The 24,055-nt window shown below is 37.0% G+C and overlaps 3 protein-coding genes and 1 non-coding gene across 11 annotated transcripts in view, besides 1 other annotated feature; all 4 read left to right on the top strand.

The window, feature by feature from the left end:
- The window catches only part of IQCJ (IQ motif containing J), a 196,989-nt gene extending 190,153 nt beyond the window's left edge, over nucleotides 1-6,836 (top strand). For 2 of the 3 annotated variants that reach the window (NM_001042705.3, NM_001197100.2), the window contains 2 exons: nucleotides 3,077-3,212; nucleotides 5,744-6,836. In NM_001042705.3, coding sequence (NP_001036170.1) covers nucleotides 3,077-3,212; nucleotides 5,744-5,932 — 325 coding nt within the window. In that variant the 3' untranslated portion in view covers nucleotides 5,933-6,836. Of the gene's footprint in view, nucleotides 1-3,076; nucleotides 4,277-5,743 lie in introns of those variants that run through there. The other variant, NM_001042706.3, reaches the window with a different exon arrangement.
- The window catches only part of IQCJ-SCHIP1 (IQCJ-SCHIP1 readthrough), an 828,041-nt gene that overhangs the window by 190,153 nt on the left and 613,833 nt on the right, over nucleotides 1-24,055 (top strand). For all 4 annotated transcript variants that reach the window (NM_001197113.2, NM_001414413.1, NM_001197114.2 and 1 more), the window contains one exon: nucleotides 3,077-3,212. In NM_001197113.2, the coding sequence (NP_001184042.1) occupies nucleotides 3,077-3,212 (136 nt within the window). The remainder of the gene's footprint in view (nucleotides 1-3,076; nucleotides 3,213-24,055) is intronic.
- SCHIP1 (schwannomin interacting protein 1) overlaps nucleotides 13,773-24,055 on the top strand; it is a 624,116-nt gene continuing 613,833 nt past the window's right edge. For all 3 annotated transcript variants that reach the window (NM_014575.4, NM_001197107.2, NM_001197108.2), the window contains exon 1: nucleotides 13,773-14,412. In NM_014575.4, the coding sequence (NP_055390.1) occupies nucleotides 14,350-14,412 (63 nt within the window). In that variant the 5' untranslated portion in view covers nucleotides 13,773-14,349. The remainder of the gene's footprint in view (nucleotides 14,413-24,055) is intronic.
- Nucleotides 14,256-14,456: a silencer, noted in NCBI's record as "peak4886 fragment used in MPRA reporter construct". NCBI's record gives its function as "represses an SCP1 promoter by STARR-seq MPRAs in K562 erythroleukemia cells {active_cell/tissue: K562}" and the evidence as "EXISTENCE:reporter gene assay evidence [ECO:0000049][PMID:32103011]".
- On the top strand, nucleotides 23,175-23,263 carry MIR3919 (microRNA 3919). The gene has a single exon (NR_037483.1). It is a non-coding gene; the product is annotated as a microRNA 3919 (primary transcript).

Consider the following 24,055-nt stretch of genomic DNA (forward strand, 5'->3'; position numbering starts at 1 on the left):
TGTGAACAAGAATTATGGTAAATCTAGGAGAAGAAGGCTGAAAGTGATTCCTTATGATTGAGAGATGAGGTGCTTCTAAATTTTACTTTAGTTCCCTCTTACAGTAAAATAACATCTGGAGATGGTATTAAGACAGCTTAATACTGGAACAATTTAATCTTTGAAGGTCATGTTGTAGGAATCGCCAAGGGGAGTAAATAACATGTAAACACTTTTCTATGATACAGAGAATAACATAGCATAGTTCCATCATTAAAAAACAATGTAGCAATTTTGGGTAATAGCCTGGTGTGACATGATGGCCCTGTCATTTTTTGACCCCAAATGCTAATTTAAAGACTTGTCCAGCTTATCATCTAGTCCTCAAAACTGTAATTATGAAGGACAAGTAGTAATGAGAAATATATATATCATAGTATGTTTTAAAAATAATAAGATCGTGTAATAAATTGTTTTCACATATGTGGATGACTATAAAATAAATATTACAAAAAAACAGCTCCTGTATTAAGAAAGTCAGTGGGTGCACAGATGTTTTAAATACATATTTTAAAAGTACTTAATATTGTCACCTTATAAATTAGAAAAGAAAAGGATATCCATTAACTAGGAAGAAAATAATGTTGTCTTCTTAATATCTGACTTAAGGAGAACTGGTATGCCAATTTCCAAATTCCATAAAACCAGGAGGGAGAAGAGGATGTTTAAGTGCAAATTCCTTTGCAAACCTCTCATCTCAGTTTTGCCCAATGTTATTTGGTTCTTTAGAGGTGTCACACCGCCCTCTGGTGTTCAACAAGCTAAAATGTAGTATCTCAAATGGCCACTATATTTTGTTTTTGTATGTTCTGAATAATGAAGACGATTTAAAGGGAAAAAAGGACAGTGTAGAATACCTCAAAGTCCTATAAAGTTGTGGGTGTTCTATTGGTTGTCAACATTTTCTAATTTTTAGACAGCCTTTAAAATGTTACACATTCTGAGCTCTTGACGGGCAGGTTTAGAGACTTTAGGAACCTTCAAGCAGCAGAATTTGTTAGCTGGGCTCTGGGATACCCCAAGCAACTCAGAGGATGTGAACATCACCGACAGCTTCCTTAAGTTCACTCCTCTCTGATATAACGGGTCTTGAAGAAGCAAGAAGACCACCAAACTCAGGCAGGCAATCTTATGGGACTCCCTTTCCCATTCTGCTTAAAATCTTTAAGCCAAAGAAAAACAGAAATAAAAATGCACTTTGAGCAAGATTTCGTAATAAAACAGTGACCAAATATAATTCAAATTTGGGCCAGATTCTGCTTTAGTGAGGCTTGAAGTATGTATAATCTGAAGAGTCCTTTAAAAAAAAAACTCTAAAAGTATCTTATTTTTACAATTCTATACAAATCATGAAGAGCCCCTCATCAGGATCTTGGAAGAGGCTCCTGGCCTTTAAGTAAGAACCCCTAAAGCTTAAGTTTCCTAGCTTCAGGGAATTGGCTACTGACCCAAAAGTATTGTTTTCACTACAGTTGATGGACTTTTCCTTGAGCATTGTAATTCCCAGACCTTTAATAAATTAGGGAAAACATACAGATTCAATAATGTGGTCACATTTTTTTTGTTATTTATATGCTGTGACCATTGAGAATTGATGATCTTTGAACTATTCCAGCCAAATGAGAATAAATAAGTTTGTTGATTCAGAAACAACTTTAATGACATAGGTTGTGTGTGAAAGAATTACAGAGATCAGATGCTTCCAGGAGTTTAGAAGAGATAGTGATAGAATTAATACAGCTATCTTAAACTATTTTAAAAGGCTGAATCCTAACAACTAGTCCGCATGAACTGTTAACTCCCAGAAGAGGTTAGACTGTGTTCAGTGACCCCCCCTATGAAAATCGAGATGTTAATCTCAAAGATCACAAGCCAGTCTGATATGATTTGGCTCTGTGTCCCTACCCAAATCTCACCTTGAATTGTAATGATCCCCACATGTCAAGGGTGTGACCAGATGTAGACAATTGAATCATGGGGCAATTTCCCCCATGCCGTTCTGTTGATAGTGAGTTCTCAGGAGGTCTGGTGCTTTTACATGGGGCTTCCCCCTTTACTCAGAAGAGGTGCCTTCTGCCATGATTGTAAGTTTCCTGAGACCTCCCCAGCCATGCAGAACTGTGAGTCAATTAAACCTCTTTTCTTAATAAATTACCCAGTCTCGGGTATTTCTTCATAGCAGCATGAAAACGGACTAATACACAGTCCATGGGGGAATCACTTAGCTTATATTAAGAAGAGGTTTCCGTTATCCTGAGCAGAAGATAATTTATTTTTTCTGATACTAATCACAGAAAATAACTTCCTTAGGCGAAACCTGAAATAGCTGCCTAATGACATTACATTAATTCTCTGAGTAGTACGTAACACTTGAATAATCTTTGTCCATTTCTTTATTTATAATCTTTGTCCATTTCCTATTCCCTTCCACAGTATATAAAACCCATGATGTGGTGCTCTCGCCTGCCTTGTGCCCCACAGCAGGGCCACTGCATTTGGCCATGCAGACTGTGCTGCACATCACTGACACCTTCACCTTGCAGTCATGCAAAGGACTGCTCTGGAGCTGTGCACGGCAGAGTCCCTGTTCAGAGTCTACAGCTGACCCTGGCACAGAATGGCCCCTCAAAAATCACACATTGAGTGCATGCAGTAGTAGTCAGCCTATTTATTATTCTCATCTAAAATATAAGATGAAAAATTGAAAGAATTTGTTGTCTCATAAATCAAAGTACATTTACCTGTGCAAACTAGTTTGTTTTGACTGATGAATTTTATTATTAAGTTGACTCTTTTAGGCCGGTTGAGTGCAGTCAAGTCTGTGAAAGTCAAACCAGTAAGGTAGGGAGACAGTCTCCATGGCTGGATTGAAGTTAAAGTTCAGGTCTCCTGATTCACTACATCACATTCTGTATGTTCTACTTCCCTTGGCACCAAAGCCAATTCCTTCAGACTCCTTGTGAGTTTCTGAGTCTGTGGACCATGATCCAACAGTAATCATGTGTGTGCTGTTTTTTGTTTTGTTTTGTTTTTTCAGCATTCAGCGAGCATGGCGAGAGTACCTGCAGCGGCAGGAGCCCCTGGGGAAGAGGAGCCCGTCCCCACCCTCTGTCTCCTCAGAGAAGCTGAGCAGCTCTGTCAGCATGAACACCTTCTCCGACAGCAGCACACCCGTGAGTGTCATGTTTCTTTTTCTATGTCCTGACTTGACATTCAACTGAAAGCCTAGACTTTGGTTCTAAGAGAGAAATCTTGGGATGTGAGCAGGTGGTTTGTGACAGTGAAGATCTATGTAGCTTATTTGCTACCCAGGAACCCATGGTGAGAGTTTTGTCACCTCAAAATAAAGACACAATTCATAAGCACAAAGTGAACTTTATCAAGTCTGGAGAAAATAGATTGCATTTATGTGTTCTCATTTCTCTATTATGGAGGTATCTTTTTTGCTTTTCTTTATAATAGCATATTTCTTTTAGTATGTGCTGTGTGTTTCTTTTATTGTGTGGTGCTAATATGATAGAAGATAAGATTGGTTATAAGGAGTAGAAAGAGAACTTTTACCAGAAGAATTGAAAGTGGTCACACACTCAGGGGTTGCAACTTAAATGTCTCCAGGGGCCAGGTAAGTCACCCTCATGACTGAGGTGGCTGAGCTGTGCCCCTGGCTACACGGAGAACATAGACCTCACCTGAAGGGCAGCGCACTTGGCTCCTGACAATGTGACACCATGTGGCGATACAGGCAGGCATGGCCAAATGTGATTTTCTTTCTTCAGGACATGTCAGAAATCTGCATTTTTAAGTGTTAGCAGCCAGTAAGAAAATTTAAAAGGTAAAGTAAGCATGCCTACAGACCACAATTGACCTACAGGCCACCAGTTTAAGAAATCTGAGATAGAGAGTTAAGGAATAAGGGAATCTGCTGGAAGTCTTTATTTTTAAAAAACACCAAAAGTGGGAAGAAATCAGTGATGAGGGATTTATGAACCAGGATTTTGTGGATTTAAGCATTGTGATAATTTGTAACCAGTCACTGAAATGCTGAAAAGTTAGAGAAATGAAGTAATTACACAAGTATATTACTTCCAAAAATTTTTCTTTTACTTTTGGTTATCATGTTTATTCTGTGGTAAAAAGGTTTCCCAACACTCAACGCAATGTATTCTTTTTGGGATCAGGTAAAAGTTACTGTATTTGAAATGTTTTCAGATGGTTGCATTGCATATTCTTCAATAAATGGTTTTGCCTAGATATGGATTTAAAGAGAGAGAATAAGTTGAGTTTATAGCAGTGCAAATAAAAGTGGCAGAAGATCCATTTTTAATTGACAGCAGAAATTGAACATTTAGTGAATCTTCACTTTTTAAAACAATTATTTAGGGGAATGGCTTATCCTAACTGACCTCACTATCACTAGAGGGCACTCGTGAACTACACTGGAAAATGCCAGGGCTTCTCGTTTGTGTCTAACTCATGATTTGTGAGGTAAAAACTAAAGTGAGAATTGAATGTTTAAGATGTCTTTGCTGTAAATGCCAATAGAAAGTGCAAATTAGATGACTTTTGGATTTTATTTGAATGATGGAAACTCAATATTAGAAATCACTTTGTGAGTTAAATGTTTGGATTTACTTTTTTTGTACCTTCTCACAGCCCCAATTCACGACAATTCTCAATTGCTGCTGAATCCAGTGATATCTAAAAGTTTTAGTGTTGCTTTAGGGTGCTTAACCTTTCGGTTTTATTGGACTCCTATGAGAATATATGTTTGTTTTATATTTGTACGGCTGTACTGCTTCGATTCTAGCATAAGTGTTTTGTGCATAAATGCATGTTCTTCCCTGTTCATGAGTCATCAACTTCATTTATATCTCTGCACAGCTTCACTAACAGTTCTACTTTATTTAATTTAGCTTAGCCTCCTGATTCCTTGTTGGTTTTTAGTAGAAGATATTTCCTCCCTCAAATGTTCCCAGAAATTTGTTCTCCCATAAGGTATATCAGACTGAATTGGGGGTGCATCCTGTAGCCCCACCATATCATCATCCTTTAGCTCTGTGCTCATGTGCTGAGGATGACTGTATTCAGTGAATGGCAGTCTGGCTCACCCATGATTGCCTATAAAAAGTGAGAATCAATGCCTGTAATCCCAGCACTTTGGGAGGCTGAGGTGGGCAGATCGCTTGAGGTCAGGAGTTTGAGATCAGCCTAGCTAACATAGCGAAACCCTGTCTCTACCAAAAATACAAAAATTAGCTGGGTGTGGTGGCATGCACCTGTAATCCCAGCTACTTGGAAGACTGAGGCAGGAGAATGAACGGCTTGAAACCCAGGAGGCAGAGGTTGCAGTGAGCCGAGATTGCGCCACTGCACTCCAGCCTGGATGACAGAGGGGAAAACAAAAAAAAAAGAATTAGAATCAGAACAGATTTTCAAAAAGAATTAGCTGTCAGAAAGCAAGCAGGCCCTGCCCAGAATTCTAATAGAAGTTATTGATTATAACAATGACTTAAATATTGATAATGACAGTGATGTGACATTAAATGTAAAAAATAAAATATGAAAATATAAGATGTTGGGATGCTTCCAAGTCTCTGGTTTGTCACTTAGGTAAAATATCCAAGTCACAGTTTAAAAGAAAACTTTATATGTAGTTGTTTGGAGTTTAGTGAGCTAAGCTTGTTTTATCTGCTGTGATCATCAGTTTGCCAGGGCCCCTGTTGGGAAGATTCATCCTTACATCTCTTGGAGGTTGCAGTCACCTGGGGACAAGTTGCCTGGTGGAAGGAAGGTGATTCTTCTCTACCTTGACCAGCTTGCCAGACCCACTGGGTTCATACATACTCTCAAGGAGCCCCAGATAGAAAGACTTGGTTTTCTCACCCTCCAGTGAATGGACCTCAAGTTTATGGAGGGAATAGGATGATCCCTGGCCTACACTGACTAAGCCTGTCATCAAGAAATGAGCTTCCTCTAACAACCATGAGTCCATTTGGAACTTCTGTGTTAAAAGCCTTCAGTCCAAGTCAAATGTTGTCAGTGAGCTGTGTCCCTGGGGAGTTCTTTATGCCCTGCCTCTTGCTTGATCTTTTCCAGGTTGTTGAACCTCAGCCCTCTTTCTCTGGGTTTAATCTATTGCTGTTACTGCCTAGACAATTTTCTATCTTCTCATATCTGATCAACTGACTGTCTTGTCCCAAGTCCCTTCCTTCCTTCTACTAACCTCTAACACAACCTTAATGGAGGCCAACAAGCCCTTACCTAACTTCTGGACATTGCCAGCTGCTCTGCAGCCCCACGCCCATAACTGCAATTATTGCCTATCTCAACTATCTACCCCAGGCATGCACTACACAGGAAATCAGCTCACTAATCTGGTTGAGTTCCTGTGTGGAGCTGATAATGATGCTTTTGCATGCTTCTGCTCTGATTGTTTTGGCTAGGCCTAGTGGTTAATGTGGTTCTTTGAACATTTCTGCCTTAAAATATATAACAAAAGTAACGTTTAAGTATGAGTGCTCAAATTCATTATCTTAATAAAAGCTGAGCACTTGTTATGTGCCAGGCACTCTGCTATTATCTTGTTTAATCCTATCAATGATCATACAAAGAAAGACACTATTATTATCTCCATTTTACAGGTGATGAAAAAGAGACTTAAAGAGATAACTACCTTTTCTTGGGCCACCCATTGGGTTGGAGCTCCATATTTTATTCTTCCACTATATTACTTGAAAAGAAGGCTGCATTTAGACACGGTCAAGCAATCAGTTCATGCATTTCTAAGACTGCTTTACAATTTGGTAGTTACAAACAGTGAATGAAACAATATTTTTAAAACCCTCATTTGATTTTATAAATTGCTTCATTCAATGCTCCTTGATTAAAACCTCAAACCTCAGCTGTTCAATGCCAAATTAAAGAGCAACAGAAGGGAAGATAATATTAAGTTATGTTAGCAATTTGCATATTAAGTGCCCTTACACTGCAATGTATCATGTGGTAACAGAAAAATTTGTTTTAGAAATAGGAATTTTGAATAGCAACTGTTAGGGAATGGAGCTTGTGGATATCAAAATGATTTTTAAAAAGAGTAATCTTCTCTCCTTAAAAAATATTAGTTATTGCACAAAGGACAACAGTAGGAAATGCCCTGTGTATTTTTTATTAATCAATTTCATATCATAAAATATTTAACGCTTTTCGTTTCCAGCTCCCAGAGATCTGTAGCTTGTCTAATAGGATTATCATGGAAAGAAACTATAGCATGGTATTTTCTAAACTCCAAGATTGATGACCTTTTCAGAAATTATTAGCATGACCTTACAAATAAGTCCGGAAAAATCTTTGGGATTATTTAGAGACATTCTCAATCTCTTTTGGCTTAGAATTGTTTCCTCCTGCTTGGGCCTTGCTTTGCGGTCACGCCTCTCTCTCCCATTGGTTCCCATATTATTATGATCTGGCCTATAGGGGGCACTGTGGCTCATGGAATGAGGCGCTGCCTGGGTAGGAGGATGTGACTTACAATAGCAGCTCTGCCACTATTTCTATGTGTCCAAGATATATCATTTGAGAGGACATTCCTCATCTGAAACTGGAAATAATACCCACCTCAGAAATGGATTGGGATTGCTGTGAAGGTTAAACGGCACTACGCATGTAAACTACAGCACAGAACCTGGGACTCTGAAGGCTCTCACTAAATATTAGTTGATTTTGAATCTGCTCTTGAAAACGTTCAGTGAGTTTATTCAAAATGCTGTGGAAAAACTGTGGAGAGCAGAGATGGAATTTTTAACTTGACACTGATTGAGGGGCACAGTACTTGTTTGTGATTCCCCAAGTGAATCCATGAGAATCAACTCATGCCCCAGAATGAATATGAATATATATATTGGAACTGTACATTACGAAGGTAATAAATTAAGCATTTATTTTAGTGTTGCTCTTACTAAAGATTGATTTTCCAGTTCTGAAGATGAACTGAGTCCTTTTGCATCTAAATGGGTAGACCTTCTCTGAGAGACCACCCCCACACTCAGAGTAAAAGCAAGCATAGATCGCTCTCCTTCCTTCCAAGACCTGATGAATAAGGAACAGGCAGATTCTTAGGACACTGGGGAAAGCAGAATTAAGTGCCATTCCTGCAGCTGCCCAACTTCTACCAGCAGACCTTACTTCATTCCTAGTCAAGAGGAATTATAGTCCTGAGCAGGGTCAAAACCACCGATTTGGACCAGCTGAAGACTGTTACCTCAGGTGTGAAGTAACACCTGAGTGTTACTTCTGGCGTGAAGGCTGTGGGATGCTTAGGTTAACAGCACTGCTTAAGTGTCCCGGCATTTAGCAAGAGTGTCTGGATATTCAACAGCTAGCCAGATGACCCACCAAACCTTTCCAAATATACTTCTAAAAGTCAGTCTTACCCTTGCTGTTGAACGCGGCGTATTCACCAACATTCAAACTGCTTCATTATCCTCAAGCTTTATTGCCCTTTTCAGATTTACAACCTCCAGGCTTTAAATACATCAAGAAAACTCTGGTGACTAATTAGGGAGAAAGTCTTGTTACAAAGTCACACTTGGTTGGGGGAAAACTCAGCCCTGAAAGAGGATTTCTGGGACCCCTTCTAATACAATTTTGAGATATTTAAAACTATAGAGAATATGGGCCGGGTGTGGTGGCTCATGCCTGTAATCCCAGCACTTTGGGAGGCTGAAGTGGGCAGAACACCTGAGGTCAGGAGGTCGAGACCATCCTGACCAACATGGTGAAACCCTGTCTCTACTAAAAATACAAAAATTAGCTGAGCATGATGGTGTGCGCCTGTAATCCCAGCTACCTGGGAGGCTGAGGCAGGAGAATTGCTTGAACCCGGGAGGCAGAGCCTGCAAGTGAGCCGAGATTGTGCCACTGCACTCCAGCCTGGGTGACAGAGCAAGACTCCGTCTCAAAAACAACAACAACAACAACAAAAACAAAAAACAAACTATAGCGAATGTAAGCTTTGTGCTACTTAATAATTTAATAACCTAGATTTTCCAGGTCAGGGACAGGTTACAGTATTAAGCTCAGCTGTTATAAATTTAGGTCTCATGAATTCTAATGTTTTAGTACCCAAACATTATCTTTCATCCTTCCTTTCAGACCCCCAAATAGCACAAATTCTTTGTCTATTTGTTCCAAATTTTGGTTCTGAGAATATATTAACCATATATAAAAAGAGAAGACTTCTTAGTATTTACTTAGAAGTAGATACATTCCTCTTCTTTCAAACCAGAGCCTGAGAGAGTATTTCATTTTCCAAAGTTTTACAAATTATATAATATATAAACATATATGACAGTATGCATAAATCTATTTTTATATAAAATAGTATCTTTATACCACAAACATCCTCTCCCTTTTATGTCTCTAAATATTGGCTGATAATATAGATTCCTTTTCCCAAATTATCCTTTTAACATCATGGTTTGAGGGTAATTTTTCTTGATAGGTTTAAAAATAAACATGTTGTTCTGGTTTGGGGATTTAAAATTTTTTCAAAAGGACTGCTAATATTAAACATTGCGTGAGTTCAGAACGATATGCAAAATTGACAGTTAATTGATCACTGATTCATTCATCCATAGTAACATAATAAATCTTCCTTAGCAGTCTCTACACTTAATGACCTATGAGTATAGATGTGAAAATCTAGACATCAAGTATGTCACCTTTGATAAAGATAGTTGAGAAATAACTTGTTTTCTGTGTAGTTTACCTTAAGTCCACTCTTGGCATTTGTCCTCATATAAATTCTGTTTTTATTCTATGGCTTGGTGAGATAAATTGTTAGATCTCTAATTTAGACACAGAGTGCACCTACATAATAAATCCAGTTTTATTATTACAAATAAACATTCCAAAGCACAGAAAGACAAACATTGCATGTTCTCACCTATTTATGGAATCTAAAAATTCAAAACAATTGAACTAATGGGCAGAGAGAATAGAAGGATGGTTCCTAGAGCCTTGGAAAGGGAGTGGGAGCCTGGAGGGGGGCAACTGAGAATAGTTAACGTAATGGGTACACACAAAAAAAGAATGAATGAATAGGCATACTATTTGATAGCAGAACAGGGTGACTATAGTCAGTAATAACTTAATTGTACATTTTAAAATAACTATAAGAGTATAATTGAATTGTTTGTAACACAAGGATAAATGCTTGGATGGATACCCCATTCTCCGTGATTACTTAACGGATAATAATGTGATTATTTTACATTGCATACCTGTATCAAAACATCTCATGTACCCCATAAATATATGCACCTACTATATCTGCAAAAAAAAAAAACAAAAAACCAACATAACCAACATTCCACTCATTGAATGGGTATAAAAGACGCTTTAGGGTCGGAGGAGAAATTAGATGTAGTGAAACTGGAGAGTGATGTATCATTGTATTACATTTCTTCTGGAAAGCTCATTAGCCTAAGGGTCTTTTGTAAATGAGACATCTTTCGGGGTGGGGGATAATTATTCACATCCCTGGATTAGGTCTACATTCATTCACTCGTTCAACAACTATCTGAATGTCTACTGTGTGCCAGGCCTTTGCCAAGCACTGGGGATACAATGATCACCAAAAGAAAACAACCTATGCCCTTGCAGAATTTACAAATTCCTCAGTCATGGTTGTCAATTCTTGTAACAGAGCTGTTGATAACATAGGCAATGATAACTATTAATTGATTAATTGTATAGAAGGTTTAGGTGCTACTATTAAGAAAAATCTTACTGCTGAAACATCTTCTAGAGCAGAATTTCTCTGAATGTGGTACCTGAAATATTACTTTTACAGGACGTTGGTAAATGTTAACTGGAAGAGAGGTAAAATGAGTCAATTTATTTACTTTACGACTTCTTCGAGCCTTTTTAAGTTTCTACACATTTTGATTCTGCAGGAAGGCTGTATTTTTTTCACACTTTCTATGCTTCTTTGAGCATGAAACCTGAAATGAGTCACATCTTACTGGGCTTAATGGATCCATGGAACACACTTTGAGAAACATTATCTTAGAGTTACTAGTTGTTAAAGGAAAATTCCAAGAACTCGAATTTTCCTCTAAGTGGCTCAATAATGCAATTAATGAGTTGAACAATGCATTTAGCAAAACTTCCAATGAAAGTTTTATATACATGTCCTTTTTATAGGCCTCTATCTATAGAGCTGTATTATGCAAATGAAAATTTTATTAAGTTCACAGATAAAACTTGTTGCATTAACTGGCTCGTAGGGTTTACATAAAAAACAAATCTAATCAACAAAACAATAGTACTGGAAGATGGAGTTTTAGAAAGTCAATAAATAACTCATTTTCCTTTCTTGATTTAGAAACTTATTTTCAGAAATAAGAGATTTAGGCAGAGGGAGATCAAAATCTCAACTTTATTTCCGGTCAAAGCTGGATTGGAGGGTGTAACTCTGACTGTGGCAACATTTGACATCTTACTATTGAACTTTGAAATGAGAGAAACTTACCAGTCTCACCCACAGGGCAAGCCAGTGTGAATCCTGTGCAGGGAGCTGGATCCCACACAGAGACAGAGGAAGGGTGATCCTGAGCTGTAGATGCCCAGTTCCTTTGCCTAATCCTCCAATCAGTGTAGCTCTTTCCACCTTTGTAGAGAGGAGAAAAGGATGGAAATCAGAGGCTAGGAGTCTTTAGGAAAATGCTTTCTTATGGAAGCCTGAGAAAATAAGAAGGGGGTGCCCAACACTGGATACTTCAGGAAGCAAAAATTGGGCTTTTTAAAAAAAATCATTTTAAGAATCACAAATACTTTTTAGTCAGTTTGATTTTTATATGATTTTTTATATAGTAATATATTAATTAGAGTTTTCCAAATAATAATTACTTTTGGAACTTTTTATAAAAATGCATATTCCAGAACCACAACAGATCTATCATGTCAGAATATCTGAGAAGCAGCCTGGGACTTTTATTTTTATTTTTATTTTTTTGAGACAGAGTCTCACTCTGTTGCCCAGGCTGGAGTGCAGTGGTGCGATCTCAGCTCACTGCAATCTCTGCCTCCTGGGTTCAAGTGATTCTTCTGCCTCGGCCTTCTGAGAAGCTGGGATTACAGGTGCCCACTACACGCCTGGCTAATTTTTGTATTTTTAGTGGAGATGGGGTTTCACCATCTTGGCCAGGCTGGTCTTGAACTCCTGACCTCTTGATCCACCCGCCTTGGCCTCCCAAAGTGCTGGGATTACAGGGACTTTTAAATTTTTAAAAATTCCCCAGATAATCTTCATCATTGTTAAAGTGTAGAAAATACTAAACTGTAGAAATTGACCAAAAATATCTGCTTTATTTAGGAAACTGAAGTGGATCAGAACATTTAGATGATCAATTTTTTTTCTCAATTTTTTTTTGGATATTTTAGCCTTTGGAATAAAATATTCCAAATTTTATTTGGATATTTTTCTCAATTTTTATTTGGATATTTAGCATAAATTTATTTGGATAAAAATTTATCCAAATAAATTTTTATTTGGATATTTTATTTGGATATTTTAGCATTCTCAATTTTTATTTGGATATTTTAGATACGCGGTGAGAAGCTGGTGAGGCAATATTTTCCTGATGAGATGCCAGAACAATCACCATTGCTTTAATAGAATTTGTTCAGTGGCACTGGTTGTGTGGAAAATTGTTTTCTCCTCAGATTTATGGTTTTTTCTCAAAAATATGACAGAATACTGTGCTCTTAAAGGAAAGCTGCTTTTGTTTGATCCATTTGGCCTTAAGGGAGGGAATACATTTAATAAGCACTAATTAGATTAGTTTCAAGTTATTCTTCACTTGGGCTATAAGAATTGTTTAGTTGGCATGAAAGGGGATTAGATAATTTATTAACTGGCATAAATGACAATTATGGCTGAAAATCATAAATTATGGCATATGACTAAATAGAAAGAGAAAAATATGTTGCAAAGAATGATCATGGACATTGCTCATTTAAACATTCTTTAAAAGAATATGTGTACTATGAATTACCAGTTAGGTGTGCAGATTAGTAATAATATAGCTAATTTTCTATTTTTACTTTATTCAGAACTGAAAAACATCTAAAAATAGTGAGTTAAAGAACGTTTTTCTTTAACCAACACTTGAAAATATACTCCAATCGTTTCAGAGATAGTAAGATGTTTTTATGTTTATATAACTTTTTAATTTTGTTACATAAACTGTTGTTAGAAGTTGAAGATGGTTTCCTTAATTTTTATTTTGCAATCTTTATGGATTGAATTAAAAAATAATTTTTGGACATGCTAAATATTCTGAGAGGTGTTTAGAAGTAGATTCTATATCCTTAGAGAGCCTCTAGTTCCCACAGCAGCTTCTCCAGGGAAAAGCCCTTCTTCACTATATTCACCACAAATTAATGGCAGTTATTCATTTTTTAAAGCAGTACCAGAAGCTGATCTTAGCTTAAAGGGGAGGCTTCATCTCACATATGAGCAGCAAATTGATTTTCTCTTCATGGCACTGTATCGATAGGGTTAAGTATTTTGATAGAAGACCATGCTATTTAATATAAGTAGATTTTCAAGAAAATCACTATGCTAAATACTTCACTAGAAGGACTTTATCTATATACAGCAGCAACTGTGACCTGCTTTAGAGATGACATCATTGGGTGTCATGTGGCTCTTTATACGTTTCAGCCTCAGAAAGAGATAATCTGTGAAAGCCACAGAGCCTGATTTCTGCTGTGATAATCTTCAGCAGACCGAGGCTGGGGCGAGAATGAGGCAGACCTGTTTACATGGTGTGTGCAGTGCCTTGTGGAATTCTTAACTCTATTTTATTGTATTATTTTTAATCGAAAAGTAGATCAGATGATAGCATGAAGTGAATCGGCTGCTTTGGACTAATGGGATCTTCTTTTCTGCATTAAGATCAAGAACTTTTCTGGAATCCTCTGTTCTCCGAGTAGCCTTGTCTTCTCTGTGTGTTTTATCAATTTGAAGAACACTGGCAAAAATCAGCAAACTTCATCTCCCAAAAAGCTCTCGCTCTTTTTTGCCAATACTTGAAGATTTCTGCTCCAAAATCTACTTTGAGCTGCTTGAGCATGGTGGTTGATAACCGAAGGGCAAAAGCATCACTTATTTAGTGTGTGTTATAGAAATTTTTTAGACAACCTTACTAGCTAACCCAGGTGACCCTTTACGGATTTCTTTCAAAGCCAATTTGAATAAACAACTCTTCCCTCTCAAATGGGCAAGAGTAACTCTTCAGCACCATGGAGAGGTCCGGGCAGCGTGTTACAACGTGGGACTGTGACCAGGGCAAGCACTCTGACAGTGTAAGTTTTACAAATGTCTACCATCTATTTTAGGTGTATCATATTTTTACAAATGAAGAGAGAAAACTTCAAAGTCGAACTAAGTAACTTTAAATTTAAGCTGATGGCCTTCATTACATTTTTAAATTCAGAATTAAGCATTTAAGGTATATTGGAATGTTCATTTGAAAAAAATACTTTCTCATTGCATAGTTAGTATGTGGATATTTGGTGCTTTGAATTTTGAGAATCTAAGTTTGAGTGTTCTTTTTTGTAGTGCACCAAAACTAATTGCATTGCAGTGGACTTTGGAAATAGCATTTTAATATACACATGTAAATAGTTCCAAATGTACAATCTGTTGCCCTTTGTATGCACAAGACTCTCTTTGGAAAGTAGTTCCTGATTTGTACAGTTTGGGAAGATCAGTGTTAAACTTTTTCAATTTAGATTATACTTTCAGTTACCAAAAGAACAAATGTCTAGGTATTCTAATGTCAATACATGGGAGATATTTGATGACTTAAAAAATCTCAAATTTATTGGTATGAAATGTATAGAGTGGCAGCTTATTATAAGTAGAAATAACAGACAATTTTATAAAATTATATATGGGCTATTGAAATAGTACTTTTAGCATTATTGAAAATAATTAGTTTCAAAATGTTCAATTTAAATCTTCAAACCAGAAATAAAAAAAATGGTTTCTTCAAAAACATCTTTTAACTCCATCTTTTAGACTATCAAATTTGTAGTTCTATGATATTATTATATGACACAACCAACGAAGAAATAATACTTTGAATTACTACCCAGAATGACCCCAACAGATATTTTGATTAGCTATTCAAATTTTTTTCTAAGAGAACATATTGTCATTAAAAAGTAACTTTAACAAATCATGATTCTTTTCTCAGGCCAATTAAACTTAGTTTGGAACATTTATTTATGCAGAATCATTTATTTTAAAGCCTAATAAAATATATTTTTATATAATTGTATTATAAAATTTATTTCCTTTAGTAGTTTTCTTCATATTTAAAAACCAGTAGTAAATGCAATTTACTCAGCTTGACCTCCAATTCAAATATAATGGATTCTTTCTGTTATGGATAATTTCCAAGTGAATTACTGTTGCTTCTTAACTCTTCAGTAATTTGGCATTTGATTTTGGGATAAATGGTACTTACATTTTGACAGTGTATGAAGTGCATAATTTTAGAGGATGTAACAATTTTATATAAAGGAGACCTTAGTATACATTTTTGTCATCTTTGCTCAATAGATCCACTGATAATTTCCATAATTGATGTCAGTATTTAAAAGGCCTCAGTTTTTGAAAAGAATGAAAGGTAGATTTATGATTTCAGTTTTTTTAAGTTTCATTTCCCAAAATTTTATTATTCTGCTTTGGTTTAATAGGTAAGTAGGACTTTTCACACACCATTGCATGTACCTCTGTGATTTTAAACTTAAATTGTTCCCTTATGGCAAACTGTATCCATTTGCAGCCCCTGATGAACTTTGAACAAATCATTCTGGTTTATTAAATTGTACATTCTAATCCAGAAGAATCCAAGACTCATGTCATAAAACGCATCTGCTTGCTGTGAAATGGTGTCAGATTTTATTCTGATTCAGAAATTTATTTGATCTTTGTCTCTGTCTCTCTGAAGGATGTGACTCATTTGTGATATTGTCAGAAGTGTAACTTTTATATTTGCTGCTTTTTTTCCAAACATTTTAGTGATATATTTATAACTATTATCCAGCACACACATTTTTCTGTAGTTGAGATATTGTTGTCTATGTATTTATTTAAGCAGAAATTGTTGCTGTATGACAAACTACAAGCACATGTTTGCTTCTGTTTTGATAGCCTTTCAATCATTATTGAAACAGTCACCTGAACAGTAGAAAAATGTTCAGAGCTAAACTGTTAGATATTCACATTTCTTTTTCTTTCTTTCTTTTCTTTTTTAAATAACATTCTGGTGGTAGCAGATGTATGTGAACAATCTTAAATTTAGTTGAGTGACATTTTGCTTTTCTTGCCAATGTAAAAATATGCTCCCAGATCTCTTTACTGTGGTCCACCCACCCTTGCAAGGGATTTATAACCTTTGGCTACAAAGAATGTAGGGGCATATTTATTTATGAAAGCCACCCTAGTTAGGATGCTTTGCAGGGTGGCTGAATATAGAGGCAGCTAATTGGCGGGTGTGGTTTTTACTGCTGATTTTAACCCTTTTGGCACTAAGAAAGATTAGTTCATCTTGGAAATAGTTCTTACATCCAAGGTATTCAGTCTCATCTCTGTTGCATCAGTCTCCATCACATATTCCTGTAGAAGCAACTCCCCTAGCTACAGTCCCAACAGGAGAAGTTCCAGTAGGGAAGAGCCTGAAACTGAAATGTGTTGCAAGAAGGTCCTAAATGGTAGCTTCTTAGAGGGACATAGGGATCCTTGGGGTTATTTCAGTGAGCAGGATGCTGATTGATTCCAAATGGGTTCTAGGCTTGTTTAGTATGTCTCTAACACTACAAGGGGCACAGTGGACATTAGAGGCTCAAGAGAGGTACCCTAGCATCCCAGAGAATCACTATAGATTGATGATTCATCATAAAACTTTCTATCAAGTGATTTTTGTCCTCAGTTACTACATTTTACTGTTATTCCTTTCTCTGTCCCAATTTTATTTGCAAGGTACATTCCTACTTTGTATTACATGATGGACCTAACTAGGTATGACCTGACTGATTTGAGATTTACATTAAATATTACTAGAAATGATGGAGTAATCTTACCTTTTCCAGAGAATAGAAAAGAGCTTAGGGACTTTTCATGCAAGATATACACATTGCTGAAAGTCCAGGAATATTATCCAAATAGAAATGTCTGGATATGATGCTTTTCTCACTTTGACTAATTTTTCAAATTCCAGTCCCTCTAAATGGATTTTACTCTCCCCCATAAGTAAACTTAAGTTGCAGCATGTAAAGAACAAGTACACATCCAGGCAGCCAGTCCTAGGGACGAAGTCAGCCCACTTCCATCTTGCCTAATTTGTCCTGTAATTCTGACTCTCATCTTGGATTTTTCACACCATCTCATCTACACTTTTGGAGTTGACTCACTACATCACACAGTGCCTGATTCCATTAATAAGACCCATCTTGATGCAATACACATTTTGAATCCAACATTCTGGATTGACCTCAGTAGCATGCTTCTCTGGAATGCTGTTTTAGTGCTCGATCTCTGACTCCTGTGCACCACAATGGCAGGAAAAAAAAACCCCACTTCTCCACCGGTTTCATTTTGTGTGCTTTGAAACTGATGGAACTGTACTGTGTAGAATACAATGTTGGTATAGAAAGCATGTACATTGATTACCCATGATATAGTAAATATCTATTTTTAAAAGCAGTCAAAGACAGACTCAGCCTAATGATGTGACAGTAGATATAAAAGAATATAAAGCTTCAGTGCCTTAGTGCAATTCATACAAATTTGCTTATGTTTCATTTTTGTTAAGATTCCTGGAAATATAAATACAAGCATTGTATCTGGACTTTAGTATGGCTTGGAAGAATTTTTTCTGATGTCTTGGTGGAGAAGATAAAGACCTGTGAATGGAATAATAATTTGGAGCTAGAAACCAATTTACTGACCCCTGGGCAAGGGAATTTCTATCAGAATATGTGACTAGTAAGGGACCTCAACACTGAGCAATCAGTGGAAGATTTATGGAGAAATTAAAAAATAATATTTACAGGCTGGTGCAGTGGCTCACGACTGTAACCCCAGCACTTTGGGAGGCTGAGGTGGGTGGATCACCTGAGGTCAGGAGTTCGAGACCAGCCTGGGCAAAGTGATGAAACCCTGTCTACTAAAAATACAAAAATTAGTGGGGCATGGTGGCAGGTGCCTGTAATCCCAGCTACAGACTGAAGCAGGCGAATCACTTGAACCCACTGGGTGGAGGTTGCAATGAGTCGAGATCATACCATTGCACTCCAGCCTGGACAACGAGCAAAACTCCGTCTCAAAAGAAAAAAAAAAAAGGATGGAGCTATTTTTCAACGGTATAGGAATAAAGCATTGAGCTTCTCATCACCAGAAAGATGAGTCACACTGGATGACCCACATAAAAGATGCTATAGAAGGGGACTCCCTAATGGTGTGTGTGCATGTGTAGCAGAAGGGCTATGTGATCTCTAAGGTCTTTTCCAACTTAGACATGGATAAGGGTCATCAGTGCAGTGTCATCTCATTTAAAAAAGAAAGCAATAATTTCTTCATTCAACAAATATGTACTGGGTACATACTCTTGTGATTACAAGAACTGAGATGATTAATCCTCCCTGAGCTCCTTGAGAAACCACCCACTTGAAAAGGAGTAAGGGGAAAACTGGGAAATAAAACCCCAGGTAGGTTTTATTTTAAACCTCAGGAGTTGGGAAAAACCCAGGAGGGAGAGTAAGATGCATCACTTGGATCTATTTGAGAAGGGAAAACTAGGTTAAAGGAGAAAAAAGCAGAACTGGAGTTATAATTTATCTTTTCATTATCTCTAGCATAGAGATACTACAATGCATAAAAAAGAAATGAAAAATTTAGAATTCATTGATCACTAATCAATTCTATGATTCTATTTAGGACTGTCAAATCTCTAATGAGCTTTTTTGCTCTTTCGCCTGTATCCTTTCAATCTGTATAGCTATAGCTGCATCATATACCTTTAAAGATTCTGTTCCAATTGTCATCTATTCTTTTATAAATTGGGAGAAATCCTGAAGCTGTAGACCATCAATTCAAGGGGTCAATATCAAGTCAGCATAGATACTGGCCCTGCTCTGAATTTGAATCTTTGCTTGATTAATTTATCATACATGGTGAATCTAGGCTATGCTGTAACGAAGGGATCCCCAAAAGTATAATAGCTCACAAACAGCAGTTTTTTTCCTGTTTAGGCATCAGTACTGAAAGGGGAAGCAATACAGTGGGGTGACCCTTCTTCATATAGTCATTCAGAGAACCCAGGATGGTGGGAGCTATGCCATCTTCAACACATGGCTCTCAAGACCACCTTACAGTTGTCTCCCTTCTAGCAAAATAGAAAGGAAAAAGGGCACATGTGGGAGGTTCTAGTGGGCCCATTCTGAAAGAGGCACACATCACTCAACTCACATTCTTTTGACTGAACCCAGTCACATGCTGATATGGTTTGGCTGTGTCCCCACCCAAATCTCACCTTGAATTGTAGCTCCCATAATCCCCATGTGTCATGAGAGGACCCAATGGAGGGTAATTGAATCATGGGAGCAGGTTTTTCCTGTGCTGTTCTCATGATAGTGAGCAAGTCTCATGAGATCTGATGGTTTTATAAAGGGCAGTTCCCCTGCACACACGCTCTTGCCTGCTGCCATGTAAGGTGTGCCTTTGCTCCTCCTTCACCTTCTGCCATGATTGTGAGGCCTCCCCAGCCATGTGAAACTGTGAGTTCATGAAACCTCTTTTTCTTTATAAATTACCCAGTCTCGGATATTTCTTCATAGCAGTATGAAAATGGACTAATACACATGCCATACCTAACTGCAAGGGAGGCTGAGAAATATCCTACAGGTTACATAGAAATAAGAAAATAAAATAGATTTTAGAGCACTTAGTACTTTCTGCCATACCTGGACTTCTGTTCTACTGTGGGAAGACTTCTTCCTCCAAACCCACAGTTCCTGTTGCTGTAAACCTGGTATAGCCTGCTAGATCTGCTTGATGTTAATTTTACTGCAGCCTTGACCATTGCTAATTTCAGTCTTCAGGTTGCAAACTATAGAACTTGACCCTAGGTAATTTAAGCTGAAAAATAATTTATTAGAAACACAACAGATAACTCACTAAATTGACAGGAAGGCTAGAGAATCAGGCTCAGAAAAAGGGAACTAAAGGAAGTTGGTTGGCCAGAAACCCATGGAAAGGCACACACAAGAGGCAACATTATTGGAATGCTGTTGGCCTCAGTACATTGGATGCAATGGTTACACAGTTCAAAAATACCCCTCACTTTTCTGAGACACTTCTTCCAGATCCAAAGTCCTGAACTGGGCCATGCCATTGACTGGTTTAGATCATGCATTCAGGCCTGATTGCTAGAATTCAGGGAAGGGAATTTCTTCTATAATGGGGGGTAGAGTCCTGGTGCTTACTGTAATATGCATAGCAGTGTATTCTGTAATTATGAGAGGGTCTCAGATAAACTAAAAAAGAAAAGCCAAACTCCAGTGTCCCTGATGTTGTAAAATGCCCCTGATGTCACATTAGATCTTCTGATGACCATGGTGATTCTTGTTGACTCCAGTTGGCCACATGCCTAGACTATGCTTTATTGCTATGCCTAGACTATGCCTTGTTGCCCCTCCTGGAATGTGTGTTTCCACCACTTTCACTGGTTTATTATACTAGCCTGCCTAGTAATCTCTATGAATCTTTCTCTGGCCCTTTTTGATGCTAGCTGAGCTTTTCAGGTCCTTTCCTAGAACACTTGGCCTTGTTTGGAGAATTTAATCTAGACCTGGGACCTATGTGATAAGTTGCAGGGCCATCGCTCAGACATTTGACTCATCTCCTGGAGGGTTTTCTCATCTGTAAAATGAATAAGTCGGCTCAATTCCCGTTAGTCTCAAAGGGACACGAAAGCTTAACAAGATCGTGCTTCGAGATATTTGGAACACAGGGTGGCATTATCACATTATTATTTTCACAAGCTGTTAACCTGAAGGGGGAAAATAAAGAGTGGAAATTTAATGCCAGAGAGGTTTTGGCACTTTGTCAATTCAACATTAGCTTTGAGGGCTTTTGGAATTTTGCCTGAAATTTTCAACACCAAGTGGCTAAAAGCTGTGTTTTTCTGGGCTTGTGATATTCCTGTCCCCAGGGATGGCATTAAGCACTTGCGAAGGATGAACTGTGCCAGGCCTATCTTCCAGTGTCCCACAAACAGACAAAAAAGCAATGCACACTCTAAATTGCTGTGCAAACCCACATTTTCTACTTGGAACAGCACCTCTGACTTGTGCCAGTAGAAAAGGGATGATGGGAAGGGAGTAATCCACGATTGCATGTGTTAAATACATTCCCTATGTGACATGTGGGGCAATCGTGGCTGTGGAGGCTTCTGTTTGGGTGCTTGGATGGACCCTACTGAAGATCACAGGACCTTTATAGGTCTTTCACAATCTCCCACATCAGTCTTTTTTGAAAGAGAGCTATTGCTTATGCAAAAGTCGCCCTTGCCAACTAAACCAAAGACTGGGCTAATTAGAAGCTAGGAAAAAGAAATACATCCTCTTGGAACTTCATTTTGGGATTTTGGAAGGAAGAGAAAGGCAGGAAGACCTGCTAGAATCTGGGGAAACATTTATTCATTCCCTGTAATTAATGTTTAAGCTATGTGATCATAATTACACCGAAATATTCTAAGTGGTTTACTTTATTTGGACAAGAATTATTTTCAAATACATAGGATTCCACATATGCGCCTAAAACACATATGCACATATATTTAAAAAATAATATGCTTTATATATTAAAAGATGATAAATTTTCAGTGTCAAGAGCTAAAAAGTATAGTTTTGAATGAATGTGCTTACACTTCTTAATGTATGTACATTTTGTATTTTCATGAAGACCTACAAATCTGTGCTGTGTCAGTGGAAGAAGGGAGCTATTTACATTTTAGAGCAAAGTACAGTGATCACTAATTTATCAAAAACTGACAGGAAATGAGGCTTCTGTATAAATGAAATCTATCAATAATGGACGGTTACTTTTTTTTCAGTCAACACATTTTGAATGGCATTGTTTCTAAACTACATTGTAATATTCTCTGTCTCATTTTATAGCAATGCCTATTCATTTATCGTTGTAATGTGTATATTCATTTTAGAAAATATGAAATGTTAAAAAATATATCTCACCATTAATCCAACAAAGACCCCTATTGTTAACATTTCAGTGAATTTCCTTGGAGATTCCGAAATGTGTATACACTAGGTATTAGTATGAATATATATAAATATAGCTCTTAAACATATTTTCAACATTTTTCACTGTGCTTTTAAAAACTTAATATTTTAATTTCTGTGTCATTAAAATTTCTTAAAGTTTTATGGTACAGTGTGAATGAGTAATATGAAATCACATAGACATATAATTTATTGAACTATGCCACTATAGTTATCAATGTCAACATTGAGTGTTCATATATTTTCATATTTTTGTTTCCTTACAAGAGATTACTGTAAGTATAATAAAAATTTATATAACATTTTTAAGGATATTGATATATATTGTTACATCCCTAGAACTGTTGTGCTAGTTCTGTTAATTTAATAGATTGAAAGTGGCCTGTGTTTAAAACCTGAATTTCTTTTTTAGTTGTTGAGGCTTAACATTTTCACATTTTGTGGCCATGTTGACTTATTCTGTGAATTGTCTATTGTTTCACTGAGATTTTATGTGTTAAATATTACGTATATATTATTAAGCTTTTGCATTCGTATATGTGAGATATATTTTCCTAGATTGCATATTTCAATCTTTAGAATTTTAAATTTTTTTTTGGAAATAAAACCTACTTAGTATCCCATTCACCTATATATTTTTGTGTTTTTTGAAAACTGGTTTCAACTTTATCATTTGTCTTAAGTTCATTGAAATTTTGGTGTATGGCATAATGAGAAATAATAGTCTTATTTTATTCCAAGTAGTTAACCCTTTACCTGAGCACCATTTACTGAGTCCTTTGTTCTCTACTAGTTTGTAGTAGTTCGTAGCAGAGAACAAAGGACTCAGTAAATGGTGCTCAGGAATCTTTACCATATGTTAAAAATAAATCCATTAGAATCTGTTTCTGAACTACCTTCATGAATAGACATGGTTTCACATGTCTATTCTAGTACCTATATTTTACTGTCTTAAATATTACATTTATATGATGAATTTTAATATCTAGCAGGGAATTCTCCACTTCATATATTTTCATGTTCTTGGATGGTCAGACTCATTCCAGATAAACTCTACAATTGTATAGTTAAGAAATTATTTAGAGACTTTAATAGCAATTGCATCAAATCTGTAAACTAATATAAGAACTGATACCTTTGCAAATTTGTTCTTACCATCTAGGAACGCTGTGTAGATAAATAAATATTGATAAGGACCTAAATATGCATAAGAACACGAATAGATATAGATATCAGGAAAGATTTGAAATTTCATATGTTTTATATTTTTTATTTTTTTTGAGACGGAGTCTCACTCTGTCGCTCAGGCTGGAATGCAGTGGTATGATCTCAGCTCACTGCAACCTCCGCCTCCTGGGTTCAAGTGATTCTCCTGCCTCAGCTTCCCGAGTAGCTGGGATTACAGGCCCATGCCACCATGCCCGGCTAATTTTTGTATTCTCAGTAGAGACGAGGTTTCACCATGTTGGCCAGGCTGGTCTCGAACTCCTGACCTCAGGTGATCCGCCGCCCGCCTTGGCCTCCCAAACTGCTGGGATTACAGGCGTGAACCATCATGCCCGGCATATTTTTTACTTTACTTACTATGATTGTTCCTATGTACATGGATTATGGATTATTTCCTTTTTTTTTTTTT

The sequence above is a fragment of the Homo sapiens genome, chromosome 3 (genome assembly GCF_000001405.40).
Source record: "Homo sapiens chromosome 3, GRCh38.p14 Primary Assembly".
NCBI lineage: Eukaryota > Metazoa > Chordata > Mammalia > Primates > Hominidae > Homo > Homo sapiens.